This window comes from Homo sapiens, chromosome 10, assembly GCF_000001405.40.
Source record: "Homo sapiens chromosome 10, GRCh38.p14 Primary Assembly".
Classification (NCBI taxonomy): Eukaryota; Metazoa; Chordata; class Mammalia; order Primates; family Hominidae; genus Homo; species Homo sapiens.
Genome location: NC_000010.11, coordinates 63,445,355 through 63,464,721, shown reverse-complemented (window position 1 = coordinate 63,464,721; position 19,367 = coordinate 63,445,355). Strand labels below are relative to the sequence as shown.

At 35.7% G+C, this 19,367-nt stretch overlaps 1 protein-coding gene across 10 annotated transcripts in view; it reads left to right on the top strand.

The window, feature by feature from the left end:
* JMJD1C (jumonji domain containing 1C) overlaps nt 1–19,367 on the top strand; it is a 354,666-nt gene that overhangs the window by 57,169 nt on the left and 278,130 nt on the right. Inside the window, exon 1 of one of the 10 annotated variants that reach the window (XM_047424774.1) lies at nt 6,010–9,863. The exons of the other annotated variants lie outside the window; for them this stretch is intronic. Within the exon in view, the coding sequence (XP_047280730.1) occupies nt 9,858–9,863 (6 nt within the window). The 5' untranslated portion in view covers nt 6,010–9,857. Of the gene's footprint in view, nt 1–6,009; nt 9,864–19,367 lie in introns of those variants that run through there. 10 annotated transcript variants of the gene reach the window in all.

The window sequence follows — 19,367 nt, the reverse complement described above, 5'->3', positions numbered from 1 at the left end:
ATTGATTATCTTTTTTTTTTTTTGGTTTCTTACATGTGACGCTGCCAGTGCTTTCTTTGAGTAGCGTAGGTATGTGCATGATATTGAGCTGTAATATGCTCTGTTGTGTTCCAAGTACATTCTCACTGAGGGACAGCTTGAAGGTAAGGGGCGGAGTAGAGACAAGACATGGACTAGACTTCCAAAGGTTGATTTATGAATACGTAATCTGTGAAATTTATTTGTAATGCCCTGAGCCATTTACTTTTTCAATGAAAACTTCAAATTTAGGAAATTTTTTTCCCTTTGTGTGCATGAAAGCTTACAATTCCAAATTCATTGTAATATTTGTACAGGTATCTACCTAATATTTTTTACCTACCTATTTTAATAGTTTCTGAGTGTGTTTTTGTAAACTCGGGTTTTCCTCACTGTAGTCAATGATATGGTTAATGCGGCATGTATTAATATTGACTCGATATCGCAAAATAGGTGTGTTTTGCTGATAGGTATTTCTAACAGAAAATAGAGGTAGTTTTGAAGGTTTTGGCTGGTTATTTTCGTATAGAAATGTATAATCTTCCTTAAAAAGTATTGGTGATGTTAGTGGTTCTAAAAATTATGGCAGTTCAATTCAGTAACTATTTTTGTTTGTGTAAAAGGCTGAGGTAAGAGGATTGCTAGAGCCCAGGACTTATTAAGAGTCCAGCCTGGGCAACATAGGTGAGACCCCCTCATCTGTAAAAAAGGAAAAAAAAAATTTGTATATATAAATAACTTAATTGCTCTCTTAGTTGGGAATTTAAGTGATTAAAGAGTTAAGTTTGCATATGTTAGTAAGGTATTAAGCTGGATATTAAAAAATAAATTATCTATGGATGGTAGAGATTGACTGGAAAGAATAGGAGTTTCTTCAGGTGATAGAAATGTTTCCTATCCTGATTGTTGGTTACACAGATATATATATTTGTCAAAACTCGTTGAATTGATACTATCTTTGCGTTTCACCATATCTAAATTTTACCAAAAAAAGAAAAATGTATGTTGAACCATACCTATGTGAACCCTTGATGAGTTTTTTTAATCTGTCTTTATTTGAAAATTTGAATATTAATTTAGTTTTTTTAGCCTAGAATCTACCATTTTAGATTTATTCCCAGATTTTCTTACATTCACATTTCTTAAACGAAACTTGGAACAGTTTAGCATTAACATAATGTAATATTCCTGTTCGACTTTGATTACTGCAGAGTAGATTTTAAGTTACATGAAATTAGGCTAGGCACAGTGGCTCACGCCTGTAAACCCAACACTTTGGGAGACTGAGATGGGAAGATACTTGAGCGCAGGAGTTTTGAGACTAGCCTGGGCAACATGGCGAAACCCTGTCCCTACAAAAAATACAGAAATTAGCCGGGCATAGTAGTACAATGCCTGTGGTTCCATCTACTGGGGCGGCTGAGGTGGGAGGATCACCTGAGCTCAGTGAGGTTGAGACTGCAGTGAGCCAAGATTATGCCACTGCACTCTAGCCTGGGCGACAGAGTGAGATCCTGTCTCTAAATAAATAAATAAATATGTAAAAAGAAAGTATATGGAAAATGTTGAATAGGCTAGTTTGTGATTTTTTTTTTAAAGCTACAAATATGTATAATTAAAAACCTGTTAAGTCTACTAGAAGTCCTGGCTGGATACACCAGGCAGGACATGTGCCACAAACCTGTGGCACATGATTTGGAAGGATAATGATAAGAACTTCAAAGTAGTTGAGGGAATATTGTGTCTCAAAGATAATCAGTTATTCTTATTTTGGGTCTTATGTATGAGGAATTGCCACGTGAATTAAATTTCTATAATTGTTTAATTAACGTAATCTTGGTGGTTTAAATGTTATACGCTTATTATTTTGTAGTTCTGGAGATCACAAATAAGACCTGGATCTTGCTGGGCTAAAATCAAAGTGTGGCAAGACTGTTTATTCTAGGAGAGATCCATTTTCTTTCCTTTTCTAGTTTTTAGAAGCTGTCCACATTCCTTGGCTCATGGCCCCCTTCCTCCATCTTAAAAGCCAACCAAGTTGTATCTCTCTGACCGTTTTTCCCTAGTCATCTCCTTCTAACTCTCCTGCTTCCCCATTACACTTGTAAGTGCCCTGTTGATTACTTTGGGCCAATTGACATAATCCAGGATAATCTTGCCATCTATTAACAACCATAATTCCTTGTAAACTTTAATTCTCCTTTGCCATGTAATGTAACAGTTACAGGTTCCTGGGATTAGGACATGGATATCTTTGGGATTAAATTATTTTTTACCACACCGTGGTAGCAAACATATTTCTTGTACAATATGAACATATATAATTTAATACAAATAAAGTAAGATTAAAATTTTATTTTTTCAGCCAGGGGTTATAGTGATATTACTTTCTAATCTTTTAAGTAATAAGTTTAATTAATAGAGTTTTCATTAGGTTATGTTGGATAATTTCAAATAGTTTGTCAACTTTTAAAAATATGGCGTGAGAACCTTTTGGGTTATCTGTATTGGAATTATCTTTGCTAACAAAATATCTAAGCCTTTTTTATGCAGGAGGACCAAGTTGTTGAAGAAGTTGAAATATATACAGCACATTGTGAACCTTTTTCATTTTGAGTTTCTTTTTTAGCCCCATTACTGAGTTTTGTCTTGGGATACATTTTTGACATTACTGCTGTTCTACTTTTTGAGGAATTTTTCTAGAAAATTGATAGTTTAAGGAAAACTGGCAGTTGAGAAGTACTGTTGCATAATATTTGTCTCCTTGAATAATATTGTAATATTAATTAAATAGCAGACATCAATTTACTCTCCTCTTGTTTAACTTCGCTTCCATTTATGATCTCAGTGATTTATTTATTTGCTTATCTATCCATCCATTCATCCATACACCCATCTATCTACCTTTCTTTGATGCTTAGGTTGATTGTATTTCTGTTTTCAAGCCAGTTCTGTCTAAAGTGTAAGTATTTAATAAAATATGTCTGGTTTTTTCAATAGAGAAAAGGACAATAAAAAATCATACTGTGTATTAAAGGCCAAACCCATAAATTTGCTTGTATTTAGGGGATATCCTGGGAATGAAGAGTTTAAACTGTTGAAATGTGTATCAGCTGATGTTATTTTGCAAAACTTCTGTCTTAAATATGAATAATATTCATGTTTAGGAAATTTAAAGTGATTTATGATTTCGCATATAAATAAAACCCCTTTTTGTTTTTGGGTCTACACATTTCTGCTTAGTTTTCTCATTTAAGTTTCTTATTTAGTTGGTAGCATTACATTTCCTTGTATGTTTCTTTATGTCAGTCTGACATTTATATTGTCTTGCATCATTATTAAAAATGCTGATTTCTGGTCTGTTTACAAAATGTTGAATGTATGAATGAATGAATGATTTTTACTTCATTGGTCAATACGATCTTGATAGGTTTACTATAGCAAAATTGGTTTTTTTGGTAGGTAGAAAGACTTCTATGTCTGATGTAAGTATGCCAACTATTTTTCACACTCGAATTTGTTATTGCTATTGCTGGTAAAGACTTGAATATAGGAAAATGACGAAATTGCCCCAATGGTGGGACATAAACTCGTGCAGTTACTACCACTAGCTAGTTTTAAAAGAAGGTGATGATCGCCCAGTAAATGTTGTTAATTGTGTTTCTGTGTAAAATTAAAGGGGCTGTTGTTTTATATGATCTTTTGACCCATCATCTATATGTTCTGGCACATATTTTAAATAGGGTATTCCAATAATTTCCAATAATTTTAAATAGGGAATTCAGTAAGTTCCAGTAATTTTAAATAGGGAATGTTTTCATTCATTAGAATAATTGAACTATAGAAATTTTACCATGTGAAACCTTATCGTCTTTGTATAGGGATATTATTGCATGTGAAAGTAAAAATGTTAACTAGATATTTCAATGTAATTGAAAGCATACAGGCTATTTTCCTGTATTTATAGATTTTATATATTATTTTTAGACAATTTCAAATTATATACAAGAAATGTCTTTAAGTCTAAAATTCATTTTCTGTCATCTTCACATATTTAGTACCGTACCTAGCATTTACTTAGGTGTCCATAAATGCTTATGGAATAATAAAGGAATGTCATAAGTTACTTGAATATTTTAATTCATACTAACCATCTCAAGTTTCTATTACTATTTACTCTTTTTTGAGACAGGGTCTTGCTCTGTTACCCAGGCTGGAGTGCAGTGGTGTGATCATTGCTCACTGCCGCCTGGAACTCCTCAACTCAGGCAATCCTCCCACCTCACCTCCTGAATAGCTGGGACTACAGGCATGTGCCACTATACCCAACTAATTTTTAAATTTTTTTTTGTAGAGATGAGGTCTCACTTTGTTGCCCAGGCTGGTCTTGGACTCCTGGCCTCAAGTGAGCCTCCCACCTTGGCCTCCCAAAATGCTGGGATTACAGGTGTGTGCCACCTACACCTGACCTTACTATTTACTCTTAATTGTAAATTTTTTGTTTCTCTTATGGCACTGTGTACCTTCCCCTCCGCAGTATCCATTCTATCTTTTATCCAATTGTGTGGTTTGACTACAGGATGGGCCATGATTTTTCTAAGCTAACTTACAGAATAGAACTCCATTGATTGGTACAGGCCATAAATGGATCCAGTCGGAGGGATTCCAAGGATAGCATTGTGTGGGTATGAGTCTGGAACTGCTGCAGCCATTTTTCTACTTTAAGGTAAACCAATTTGAAGGCAAAGCTGACATAGAGAGGTTAATAGTATTGACACGGTAGCAGGAAAAAATGTGACTGACCAAACTTTTTCTGAATCCTACATACTACTGTGGATTTTTCTCTTATGGAGTTTTCATTTTGGGAGAATAAATTTACTTAAGGTTTAAGTCTGTTTTGGTTCCTTTTTCTTTGCCTTGGAAGCAAAAGTATGTTAACTGATATACATGGTAATATTTCATTCCACTCTTTTTGAATAATGAAAGCAGCATTTTCTTGAAACTTTTAAATTTGTTATTTGGTGTTCAGACGTTAGAGTCTTGTCATACTGATTTTTGTATAACTCTGATGATTTTCAAAAAGGGTGATATGTTCTGCTTTTATGTGTCCAGGTGTATCCCAAAGCTTTGTAAAAATTAATTTGTTTTAATGTGTATGAAGTATAAATATCTAACTTTCTAAATATTTACAAATAAGAAATAGCATTGAGTTTTTATATTAGGAAGTGTGCCATAACTCCTCACAGTTAAATAGAAATTTCAGGAGAGATACATCGTTAATATTTCAGAAATTAGCAAGAGAGGGCAAGCTTGGCTTTTTAGGTCACATATATCATAAACCCTAGTTTATACTCTGTCAGTGTTGGTCAGATAAATAACTGTAGGTCCACTATTCTTTATCTGCAATTCTGAAATTCAAATAGCTGTAGCAACTACATTTTTTAATGATTCATTTGGAAGCAAAACCTGATTGACTAAACTCATTTTTTAAGTAGAGCTTAATAGGAATTGAGTATTTCTTATAGGAGAAATATTAATGTGCTCCACTTTTAGGGTTCTGTTCTAAATCCTTCAGAGATGTTACATGTTGCCTAGGAACTGTGCTATATTACCATAGTTAACTACCATAACGTAAGGACTTGTACTATATTACCATAATCAACTACCGTAATGTATGCTATAGGCCAAGCGCGGTGGCTCACATCTGTAATCTCAGCACTTTGGGAGGCCAAGGCAGGGAGATCACTTGAGCTCAGGAGTTCAAGACCAGCCTGGGCAACATGGTGAAATCCTGTCTACTGAAAATACAAAAAGTAGCCAGGCGTGGTGGTGTGTGCCTGTGGTCCCAGCTCCTTTGGGTACTGAGGTGGGAGGATGGCTTGAGCCTGAGAGGTCAAGGCTGCATTGAGCCATGATCATGCCACTGCACTCTAGCCTGGGTGACAAAGTGAGACTGTTCCTCAAAAAAAAAATAAATAAATAAAAAAAAAGCTATATTTAACTTTATAAAAATCCAATAAACTTTTAATACCAAAATATGTTGAAAGAGTTTGGATGAGGGATTGTTATTTGAATACTAATACGATTTTTGGTGGTGTAGATTTAATGGCAACAAATACTGCTAATTTTATTTGTTAGGAGATTTGATAGTGATCATATGTCTGCCTAATTTCAGATAGTTTTTCCAGTGTGGATTTTAGCAGACTTTTTTTTTTTTTTAAAGACAGGGTCTCGCTCTGTTGCCCAGGCGGAGTACAGTGGCATAATTACAGGTCATGGCAGTCACTTTCTGGGTTCAAGAGATCCTCCCACCTCAGCCCTACAAGTAGCTGGTACTACAGGAATGAGCCACCATGCCTGGCTAATTTTTTTTTACTCTTTGTAGAGATGGAGTCTGACTGTGTTGCCCAGGCTGGTCTCAAACATCTGGGCTCAAGCAATCCTCCTGCCTTCAGACTCCCAAAGTGTTGGGATTAGAGGTGTGAGCCATGGCATCCAGCTTCACACTTTTATTAGATATAAAATTCTTAATCTGACAAAGAAAGATTTAGGGATTACGTACTTTTAGTTTTACAACTGGTCTTTACTAAATTGTTAATGTTGAAACATTGTCTGAAATTATCGAATTGGATAAAATCCCTTTGTGTAGAATTTATATTTTATATTCTAGCTAGTTTACGAAATTATTATCTTAAACCCATTGATGAAAATGTTGATTTATCTTATATTGTAGAACTATTGATTTAATTATAGAATACATGGCTAAGTAGAAAAACAGCAGCTCACAATCTGTTTACTGTTTTGTCTGGCAAAACAAAACTATGCATACTGCTGACTTACGAAAAACTGAAAAGAGTTTTTGAAATCACACAATCAGTAAGTGTCAGGGCAGGAATTTGAATGCAGATTTCTGATTTCAAATCTGTTATCTCTGTACTCTGCCATATTGCTTCTGCCAATGGTTTGTGATTCACAGACTCTCAAAGTAAAAACCCGAAATTCCCTTTAACTGTAATGTTATATATTCTTTCTGAGCCCTTTCTCTTTCTTCATTTCTATAGCCCTATGGTTTAAGTCCTCTTGGACTTTTATTTCTCCTTCCTTCCTGTCTGCAGTTCCTTTCATCTTCTTAATTTGGTATTTCAAATTCAGTCCTTTGCTTACTGTTTGTTGTTGTTGTTTTAATCTTGTTATTTCCTTTGTAGAATTTACTTGTACTATGTTGCATAATTACTCACAAATCTGCAATTAAAGTTTGGCCTTTTTTCAGTTTGATCCACCGTCTCTACTGTTTGGAAGCTTTACATGAATGTCCCGTGTGTGGGTTTGAAATAGTGTTTAAAGTATAATTTATTATCTTCATGTGAAACCAGCTGCCATTTTGAGATTTAATTTGAAGTTTCACCTGGGCTTGAAAACACCTTCATCTTAAATGTTTTTCCACCTTGAACGTTGGCATTAACTTAGTTCTGCAGATTTCTTCCTTTAAATTGGAACCTGCTTTCCCGTCTCCATTCTTTTCAATTTGTACTACCACTTGCTCAAAACCTTCCTTACTTGATTTATTTGGGTTATATCTATTGATACTTACTGTATTAAAAACTAAGCTGAAATTTTTAAAACACAAGAGCAGTTTTTCATAAGTCAGCACTATGCAGACATAGTTTTGTTTTACCAGACAAAACACAAGTAGTCTGCTGCTCTGAACACTGATGAAAGAATGAATGGAAAAGGCAAATAATGTCTTAGTAGTATTTTGAGAAGTTTTTATCTTACTAATCCCTTGAATAGATTTTGTTGCCCTGGAAACATTTGGTGAAGGTATCTGTTCATCTAATTCTCTTTAGTAGAATTATTTACATTAGTATCACTAAATAGTTAAATTTTAAGTTGAATTTGGCTTCTTCATTATTTCAGGTTTCTTCCAGTATTTTCTGTGTGGCTATATTGCTTATGAAAATTATGTATTTTGAACGTAGAAGGTTGCATGTAACATGCCAGAAAATGTTAACATGGCAGTAGGAATAGTCAGCATTCCTAGAATAGATTTCAGATTTTTTCAAAGCTAGAAGAGGTCTGTGTGACTAATTCATTTCTTGTGAAAGACTGACACTTAGGAGCTGAAACATCTGATCCATCTGTTAAAGTTAGGAGTTTTAAGATTCAAAAATCTTTAGGCTCAGAGGAATATCAAAGAAGGAAGCAGTATGTTAATGTTTGGTTAAAATTATGTGTTATTTAATATAAAATGACTGTATATTTAACAGAATTTATTTCCTCTCTATATTGTGATTCTATAGATGGAATCTTGATGCAATACAGGACTAGGAGAAATATTTGTATAAGAATTTAAAGTTGATGAACTATTCCAATGTGTTGAATAACATTATACTATTATTTGGTCTATGTTCTTTTTCTTCTTTAAAATCACATTGATAAAACTATGTAGAGCCTATTTTAGAGCGTTTCCACTGTTCGCTAGAACATTTTATTGCCATAATTTTCAAAATCTCTGATCATATTTTAATACCAAAGTGAATCATTTTGAGGGAAACCATTTTACTTTACATTGTTCATGTGAATTAAGAGAGTAAGTTGTGAATATGAATATAGACTATATGTATTTCACCTTTCCGTAACGGTTTTGAACTATACAAACATATACACATAGTTATATAATAGAAATAATTATTAAGACCCTTTGAACTACTAAGTATAACAAGGAAAAAAGCAAATATGCTTACAGTTAATATAATATTGCATTAAATTTGCCTCGATTTTCTCAGTCTTAAGAGCAAAATAAGAATTGTGATTAATTAAAATATCATTTATTTTCAGTGTTTTTTCACTAGGTTCTACTGCCTTTTTGAATTGCTTTCTTTGGTGTCTTGGAAAACTAAGTGACCAGAGGGTATAGGAGACAAGAAACCTGAGAGTACTGAATTCTCATTCTTACCCCTTTCAATTAGAACACCACTGATTTTATCAGTTTTATTTAATAATGATTTCATAGGCCAGAAAATTAGATTACACAGTTCTTTTTTCAGAGAGAAGGAAATAAGCCATTTTTAAAGAGAGAAACTTTTCTTGAAAAAAAAATCTGAATCTGGTAGCTTAATACAAGGGAAATAGCAAATGAAGAGCTGTTTCTTGGTAAATAAGAATCCAGTGTGTCATTATGAAGTATCACTTCATGAGGATATTCCTGCAAGAGATTAAAATAATATTGAGATATGTAACTGTATAATGATCAGTGGAACCTAAAGGAGAAGAAACTAATAATAAATATGACTAAAGTTCATGATTGTCAACCTTTTATTTCTTGTATTCCAGTGTCCCAGTGGATAGGGTTAAGCTTTAACGTGCAGAATTGTGGAGGAAACATGTTTGAATGGTTTTTTTCTAGACCTCATACCCAGATACTGTGATCTTAGATATGGAGTATAGGACAAAAATCTGTACTAAAATTTATTAACTTTTTTGACTGGGTACCACAGAAACATAAAGAAGTATATTTTGAATAATCTCACTCCCACACCTGCCCCGATCAGCCTAGTTTAATCTGCATCTCTTTTAAATAACCATTTTTGTTAATTTCTTATGTTTTCTTCCAGAGTTTTTTGTTAAAAATAAAGATGTGAACGGATGCACGTAGTCTTATTCCTCCCAGGCATATGTAATCAAGCTGAGCATAACCTAAAGGAAAATAACCACGTTATAGGTGTTGCGATACAATACAACAGGAACTACACAATTCAACTTATGAAGTATTTTTGCCAAGAAGAACTGAACCTGAATATAATGAAGCTTCTAGATTCTGACAGCAGTTTACAGGACATATGGAGGTAGAGGAACATGTGAAACTACACCATGAGGATACAGTCAGCCATATTCATTATGTGGGGAATTACAGAGCTGTGCTTTTCAGTATGGTAGCCACTAATGTGTGGCACTTCAATAAAATGAAAAATCAGGCTAGGTGCAGTAGCTCATGCCTGTAATCTCAGCACTTTGGGAGGCCAAGGTGGGTGGATCACTTGAGGTCAGGAGTTCAAGACCAGCCTGGGCAACATGGTGAAACCCTGTCTCTACTAAAAATGCAAAAATTAACTGGGTGTGGTGGTGCAGGCCTGTAATCCCAGCTACTAGGGGGGCTGAGGCATGAGACATGAGAATTGCTTGAAACCAGGAGGTGGAGGTTGCCGTGAGCTGAGATCGTACCACTACACTCCAGCTTGGGCAACAGAGTGAGATTCCATTTCAAAAAACAACAAAAAAATTAGCTGGGTGTGGTGGTGCAAGCCTGTAATCCCGGCTACTCTGGAGGCTGAGGCATGAGAATCTTGAACCAGGGTGGTGGAGCTTGCAGTGAGCTGAGATCATGCCACTGCACTCCAGCCTGGGTGACAGAGGGAGACTCAGTCTGAAAAAGAAAAAAAAAAAAAATCAATTTCTCCTTTTAGAGCTCCGATCACATTTTGTACGCTTGGTTGACACATATGGTTAATATCCACAGTCTCAGATAGTACAAATATAGAAAATTTCCATCATTGCAAAAAGTGTAGATGTGGCTATTCAATTGGATACAGCTATTCTGTAGTAACCATTAAAAAGTTAAAAATTAAAACATGTAATTTTCTGACTAGTAGAAAAAAATTGGGATGATACAAACAGAATTGGAGGCCGGGTGCAGTGGCTCAAGCCTGTAATCCCAGCACTCTGGGAGGCTGAGGCGAGCGGATCACCTGAGGTCAGGAGTTCAAGACCAGCCTGGCCAACATGGTGAAACCCAGTCTCTACTAAAAATACAAAAATTAGCCGGGTGTAGTTCCAGCTACTCAGGAGGCTGAGGCAGGAGAATCGCTTGAACCTAGGAGGCGGAGGTTGCAGTGAGCCAAAGTAGCGCTACTGTCCTTCAACCTGGGCAACAGAGCGAGACTCTATCTCAAAACAAAACAAAAAACAAAAAAAAACTATTGCTTTTTCACATGCAAGTTTTTTCCTAGTCTCTTGCCGTTTTTAACTACTTATAGTACATTATTCTGTATGGCTTTGCTTGACAGACGCAAAGGATCAGTAAAAATTTTTCCTTTGGCATCAGGCCTTTGTTTCAGCTTAAGAAATTCTTTCTAATTTGAAATTATATTTTAAAACATTCACTTTTTCTCCAGTAATATAAAATGTCTGTGTCTTTTGCTATATTTTAGGAATATTTGTGGACTATCTGTTATATTCCATATATCTTTCTGTTTCTTGTACCGCAAGATCAGAGTGTTTTAATGATTGCAGTTTTATAGAATCTTAATAGGTAAGCAAATCTGTTCATTACTCTTCATTTTCAATAATGGACATTCTTTAAAAAATTTTTCTTATTGTAAAATATATGTAACAAAACTTACAATTTTAACTATTTTTGTTTTGGTTTGTTTGAGACAGGGTCTTGCTCTGTCACCCAGGCTGGAGTGCAGTGGCGCCATCTCGGCTCACTGCACCCTCCGCCTCCTGGGTTCAAGCGATTCTCATGCCTCAGCCTCCCGAGTAGCTGTGGTTACAGGCACCTGCCACCACACCCGGCCAGTTTTTGCACTTTTGGTAGAGATGGGGTTTTGCTCTGTTTGCCAGGCTAGTCTCAAACTCCTGACCTCAAGTGATCCGCCTGCCTCAGCCTCCCAAAGTGCTGGGATTACAGGTGTGAGCCACGCACAGCTCATTTTAACCATTTTTAAGTGTACAGTTTAGTAACATTAAGTATATTAACAATATTTTGAAATTATCAGTACTATCCATTGTCAGAAGTTTATCATCCCAAACAGAAACTCTCTATCTAATGTCTCTGTGAATTTGCCTGTCCTTCATAAAAGTGGAATCATACAATATTTGTACTTTTGTGTCTGGCTTATTTTAACTTAGCATAATGTCAAGGTTTATCTGTGTTGTAGCAAGTATCATAACTTCACTTCTTTTTTATGGCTGAGTAATATTCCATTGCATATATATACCACATTTTATTTATCTACCAAAGGGTAGAAGGATTGCTTCTACCTTTTGGCTATTGTGAATAATGCTGCCATGAATATCAGCATATCTATTTAAGTCCCTGCTTTTTACTTCCTTGGGGTATGTACCCAGAATTGGAATTGCTGGATCATATGGTAATTTTATGTTTTGTGAGGAACCACTGCACAGTTTTCCACAGTGGCTGCACCATTATATGTTCTCAACAGCAATGAAGATGGATTCCAGTTTCTCTACATCCTAGTCAACACTTACTATTTCCTGGGTGTTGTTTGAAAATAGCCATCCTAGTGAGTGTGAAATGGCATTTCATTATGATAATTTTCCCAATGATTAGTGATTTTTGAGCATCTTTTCATGTGCATGTTCACAATTTGTGTATCTCCTTTGGAGAAATGTTTTAAGTTGTTCACCCAGTTTTGATTCAGCATGTTTTGTTTTGTTTTGCTTTGTTATAGGAGTTCTTTACATATTCTGGTTATTAGTACCTTATCAGCTAAATGATTAGAGATATATTCTCTATTCTGTGGGTTGCCTTTTCACATTCTTGATAATGTCTTTTGATGCATAGGAAAATTATAAATTTTAATGTAGTTCAATGTATCCATCTTTTATTTTGTTGTTGGTGCTTTTGGTGTCATTTCCCAGAAGTTGCTGCCAAATCTAATGTTATTGAAGCTTTCCTGTCTTCATTTGCTTCTAAGTCTTCTATAGTTTCAGCTCTTGATTTAGTTCTTCTATCCATTTTTAGTTGACTTTTGTGTATGGTGTAAAATAAGGGTCCAGCTTTATTTTCTTACATCTGTTAATCTCATTTTCTCAGCTCCATTTATTGAAAAGACTGTCCTTTTTCCATTGAATAGTTTTGGCACCTTTTTCAAAAATTATTTGGCCATATATGCAGGGGTTTATCTCTGGTCTCTGTCTTCATCTGTACAGTTGTCTCTCAGTATCGTGGGGGATTGATTAGAGCCCCCAAATCCATGGATGGTCAAGTGCTTTATCAGCCTTAAGGTGGCATAGTATTTGCATGTAACCTACATACTTCTTTCTGTATATGTTCAGTCATCTCTAGAATACTTAAAATTCCTAATACAATGTCAGTGCTATATAGTACTTATAATACCTAATGCAGTGTAAATGCTCTGTAAATAGTTGTTATACTGTATTTTTCAAATTCATATTTTTTAAATTTTTTTCTGAATATTTTTGATCTATCATTGGTTGAACTCATGAATGCAGTACAGAGGACCGACAGTATAGCTGTCTTTATCCCAGTCCTGCAGCGTTTTTGATTACTGTGGGTTTGTAGTAAGTTTGAAATCAGGAAGTGTGAGTTATTCAACTCTGTTCTTTTTCAAGATTGTTTTGGCTGTTAAGGGTCCCCTGCGATTCCATGTGGATTTCAGAATTGATTTTTCTATTTCTGTAGAAAACATGGGGATATTAATAGGGTTTGTATGTATTGAATCTGTAGATGGCTTTGGGTAGTGCTGATATCTTAATATCGGATTTTCTGATCCACAAACACAGATGTCTTTCCATTTATTTGTGTGTTTAATTTCCTTTGATATGTACCAGTCATTTGTCTCCTTGGTTTCTTACGTATTATTTTTTTGATGTTACTGTAAATGGAATTGCTTTAATAATTTCCTTTTCAGATTGTCCATTGTTGATTTATAGAAACACAACTGATTTATCTGTGTTGATTTTTGTATACTGCAACATTGCCGAATCTGTTAGCTCTAAGAGTTTTTTTTTTTTTTTCTGTGTGTGTGTGAAATTGTTAGGGTTTTGTACATAACAAATTATGTCATTTGAACAGAGGTAATTTTACTTCTTCTTTTCCAATTTGAATGTCTTATCTAAGTTTCTGACTAGTCCAATGCTGCGTTGAATAGAAGTGGCAACAGCAGGTATCCTTGTCTTGCTCTTGATCTTAGAGAAAAAGCTTTTAGTGTTTCACCATTGAGTATGATGTTAGCTGTGGAATGTTCATACCTGGCCTTCATTATGCTGTATTTTCCTTCTTTTCCTAGTTGGTAGAGTGTTTTATGAAAAAATGTTGACTTTGTCACATGCTTTATCTGCATCAATTGAGATGATCATAAAATTTTTTTTCCCTTCATTATGTGAATGTATTGTATTTATTGACTTTTGTGTGTTGAACCATCCTCGCATTCCAGCAATAAATCTCAGTTATGGTATATAATTTTTTTTTAATTTCTCTTTTTAAGAGACATGATCTCACTCTTTTACCCAGGCAGTAGTCCTATGGCTGTTCACAGGCAGAGTCATGGTAATAATGGTAATAATGCTGCTATGGTAATAATGCTGCTGTGAACATCAGTGTATGAATATCCTTTTTTACACCCCTGGCCTCAAATGATCCTCCTGCCACAGCCTTCCAATTAGCAGGAACTACAGATGGGTACCTCTGCACCTGGCTTTAATTGCATTTAACTAAAAAAAAAAAATTATTTTGTGATGCCTTTCATTGTTTCTTTGCCTTTCTCACACTAATACCCTGGTCTAATTTTGCTTTTCTTTTCCTCTTTTTTTGTTTTTTGTTTTTTGAGACAGGGTCTCACTCTGTCACCCATACTGGAGTGCAGTGGCACAATCACAGCTCATTGTAGCCCGGACCTCCTGGGCCCAAGTGAGCCTCCTATCTCAGCCTCCCAAGTTACTGGGTCCACAGGTATGTGCCACCATGCCTGCCTAATTTTTAAATTTTTTTTGAAGATGGAGTGTCCCTTTGTTGCCCAGGCTGGTCTCAAACTGGCCTCAAGTGATCTTCCCACCTCGGCCTCCCAAAATGCTGGGATTACAGGCAAGAACCGTCACACCTGGCCTAACTTTGCTTGGAATTGTGTACAGTTTTATAGACTAATTTAGGAAGTATGAATATCTTTTCATTACTGAGTCTGCACTTCAAATAACATGTAGTATCCCTCCAGCTATTCATGTTTGATTTTTTTAAATATTCTCCAGTGGATATGATTTTCTTCATATACGTCCTGTGTTTGTTAGGCTTATTCTTAGACACTATATATTTTGACACTTAGATGTATATTGATATATGCCTGAATCATTAATACATATCTTTTACTCATTTGTTTCTTCAGACACAACTTTTGGAATAAAAATAATGTGATCTTTCTTTTCCCAGTATATATTTTTAGCTCATATAATAGCTTGGTAGCTTTTTTCATTCATAGGCTTAATAAAGTTACAGTAGACTTTATATATATGAAAAGTGTTATAAAGAAAAAGTGAAATAATGTTACTAGCTTCTTAAATCTTGCCTAAAGTTTTAATAAACTGTTCAAGATGTTATTTCCTTATCATGTCTTTTGTTTTATCATTATGATCAATGGAAATATAATATTTATTTTACAGAATTTCACTTTTAGATTGTGTACCAGTTCATCTTCAAGTGAAACTGTAACAAAAAATTTCTCATTCAAAATACAGATTTAAAAACATTTTAGTGATGATTATTTACTATACAAAGCAAGTATATATTAGAATCCTTTACATTTTATTTTATTTTATTTTATTTTATTTTTGAGACGGAGTCTTGCTCTGTCATCAAGGCTGGAGTGCAGTGGTGAGATCTTGGCTCACTGCAGCCTCTGCCTCCTGGGTTCAAGTGATTCTCCCGTCTCAGCCTCCTGAGTAGCTGGAATTACAGGCACACGCCACCGCACCTGGCTAATTTTTGTATTTTTAGTAGAGAAGGGGTTTCACCATGTTGGCCAGGCTGGGCTCGAACTCCTGACTTCAGGTGATTCGCCCACCTCTGCCTCCAAAGTGCTGGGATTACAGGTGTGAGCCACCGCGCCCGACCTCCTGAAGTATCTTAAACACTACTTTTTCAAAATGCTGTTATCTATTCAATACAATCCCAATGTGTTTAGCATGATATATATGTAGACCTTTTATAGAGTTCTTTTAATTCTCTGCAATAGACTTCAAATGATTTCTCACCTCTGTCAAGTTTTAGAGAACTGCTTTATTTCTATTTCTCTAGAACACTATACTTTAGCAAGGGTTAAAATTTGGAGAATAGCAAACTGACTTTCTCATGTATTTCCTTCAGGTTCTAATGTTTTTAAACATTGATAGGGTTGAGGAAATAACAGATCAGAATGTATCCACTTCAAACAACAAATGGTTATACTCTGAATTCTTGGCTGAGGTACTTGTGATATTTTAAAATGTATTAGGGCTGGGTGTGGAGGCTCACACCTGTAATTCCAGCACTTTGGGAGGCCGAGGCAGGTGGATCACTTGAGGTCAGGAGTTCGAGAGCAGCCTGGCCAACATGATGAAACCTCGCCTCTATTAAAAATACAAAAATGAGCTGGGCATGGTGGCATGCATCTGTAATCCCAGCTACTTGAGAGGCTGAGGCAAGAGAATCCCATGAACCTGGGAGGTGGAGGTTGCAGTGAGGGGAGATTGTACCGCTACACTCCAGCCTAGGTGACAGAGCAAGACTCCATCTCAAATAAAATAAAATTAAAATAAAATAAAATGTATTGGGAAAATGTTTAGTTTTACTAAATTCAGTAATGCACAAAGGATGAAAAGAGGATAGGCGCTTTAGGTATTTATGGTCTGTTAATGTCTTTTTTTATTTTTACATAGGACAAAAGCAATAACCTTGGTTTTCACAATACTTTATTAGACTTTGTTTCAAGGAAATTTTTTCTTTCTCTCTCTCTTTTTATTTTTATTTTTGGAGACAGAGTCTTGCTCCATCACCCAGGCTGGAGTGCAGTGGCGTGGTCTCAGCTCACTGCAACCTTTGCCTCCTGGGTTCAAGTGATTCTCCTGCCTGAGCCTCCCAAGTAGCTGGGAGTACAGGTGTGTGCCACCATACCCAGCTGATTTTTTTATTTTTAGTAGAGATGGGGTTCACCACCTACCTTCCCCTATGGTTGACATACTGCAACTAGATGGACAATGCACTTATACTGCTGATTCCTTTTAGTTGTGATATTGATGCCACAAAACCATAGAAAATAAGATTTGATCACTTCAGGTTATAAACTGTTACCTTTATTATTTCTGTCCATCTAAGTAATTTGGAATATTATGATTCATGTTAGAGTACCCAGCAGATGTGAAGGAAAATATATAAGCTTAGTGAAATTTTGACTGGTCACTTAATTGTTCATTGGGAAATGAAAGAGGTCTAGAATATGTTGAAGTTTATTACAGACAAAAATAAAAATGAAGGGGAATCTAAATGCATTAACATTTTGTACCTTTTAATATTATAGTTTTTTTCTTCCTCTGTTCCAAAGTTTTCCAGATACTGTAGCCTGCTTTTTACTATGTTGATAAAGAGGAGGTGTCTGAGAAGCTTTGTAGAAATAATGTGGGAACATGGAGAAGAACTGAATTGAGGTCAGGGAAGCTATAAACCTTTGAGTGCTTTTGTGATGTGATGTGCTCTATGGGAGGCTGTGTATGAGTTCAAGCTTGAGAAACTTGCTTGATAAAAATGTGACTATTAACACTTACTGTTCCTTCCTCTTGTTAAGAGTCTCTTGAGAAGATGAATTTTTATTTAAATACTGTTTTGTCTTTTTTTTTTTTCCTGGTTATAAAATGCTTACAGATATTTTGTCCTTAGAGTTATACCTATCCCTCACAAATAACCTGAAACATAAATATAATAACAGAGTATGTCACAAAGATAGGAAATTCCTGGTGATTCCAGAGAAACTGGAATCTCTAGTTTGTAAGGAAAATAGTCTCTATCTTTGGCTTCTTTGGCTTGTAAAGTGCTTGGTATTATACAGATTGTCCCCAGTTTGTTGACTCCTATTATGACTTGAACCTGCTCTAGAAAGGCTTTTGCCCCCATTACTCCAAGGAAACTGCAGTGATCAAGGTTGCAAATTACCTCGTCTTTTTAAAATCAAGCATCATTTTCCAGTCTTCATTTTACTGGGCTTATCAGCAGCATTTAATATGGTTAATCACCTTCTTTTCCTTCAAGTACTTTGTTTATTTTGCATCCTAGGACATTATGCTCACTTGGTTTTTCTCGTATCTGTCTTTCTTGCCTCTCCTTGGAAGGTTTTCCTCATATCTACAATCCTTTAAGGGCTAATTTCTTGGACGTCTTTTCTAGCTACGCTCTTGTTCTTGGTCACATCTATTCCTATAACCTTTAATACCATCTATATGCTGGAGACTTCTATATCTATGTCCTTGTTTGGATCTCTCCCCTAAATCTCAGACTCTTGTTGAAACAGCTTATTCATTGTCTCTATTTGGATGTCTAATAGGCATCTCAGACTTAATATGTCCGCAGCTGAGTTCCTGATACTAACCTGTTCTGCCTTGAGTCTTCATTATCCAGTAAATAGCAACTCCATCCTTCTAGTTTAGGTCCCTTGCAGTCATCCTGGACTCCTTTCTCTCACATCCCATATCCAAACTGTCAAGAAAGTCTTGTTGGTTCTATCTATAAAACATATTCAGATCCCAGGCGGGGCGTGGTGGCTCAACGCCTGTAATCTCAGCACTCGGGGAGGCCAAGGCGGGTACATTGCTTGAGTCTAGGAGTTCAAGACCAGCCTGGGCAACATGGCAAAACTCTGTCTACTAAAAATACAAAAAATTAGCTAGGCGTGGTGGCACGCACCTGTAGACCCAGCTACTTGGGAGGCTGAGGTGGGAGAATCGCCTGAGCCTGGGAGGTTGAGGCTGCAGTGAGCCCAGATCACACCACTGCACTCCAGCCTAGGTAACCAGAGTGAGACTCTGTCTGGAAAAAAAAAAAAAAAAAAAAAAAAAAAAATTCAGATCCCAGCACATGTCATTTTTTCTATTAGCATTATACTAGTTCAAACCTACATTATCTTTTGCCTAGATTTTCCTCTTAAGAGTCTGTTGAGTCTATTTCTAGTAGTCACTTAACTAGTTACTTGTAACTAGATATCTAACTGCCTCCTAACTAGTTCTTACCCATAAAAGTCTATAGTGCCTATAGCAAACAGTCAGATTATGTTACTTTTATGGTCAGATGCCTCCAAAGGCTTCTAAACTGATTAAGAATAAAAGATGAAGGCCTTATAATGGGCTGAGAGACTCTACATGATATCCTGCTTTCCAGTCATTCCACATCGACATTATCTTCTATTACCCTCTTACTTGGCCTTTTTGCTGTTCCTTGAACATGTCAGGTCTGGTCTCCCCTTATGGCCTTTGCACTTGTTTCTCTGTCTAGAATTTTTTCCCCAAAGATACCCACATGACTCCATCACTTCTTTCTGGTAAGTATGTTCAAATGTTAACATGCTTGCTCA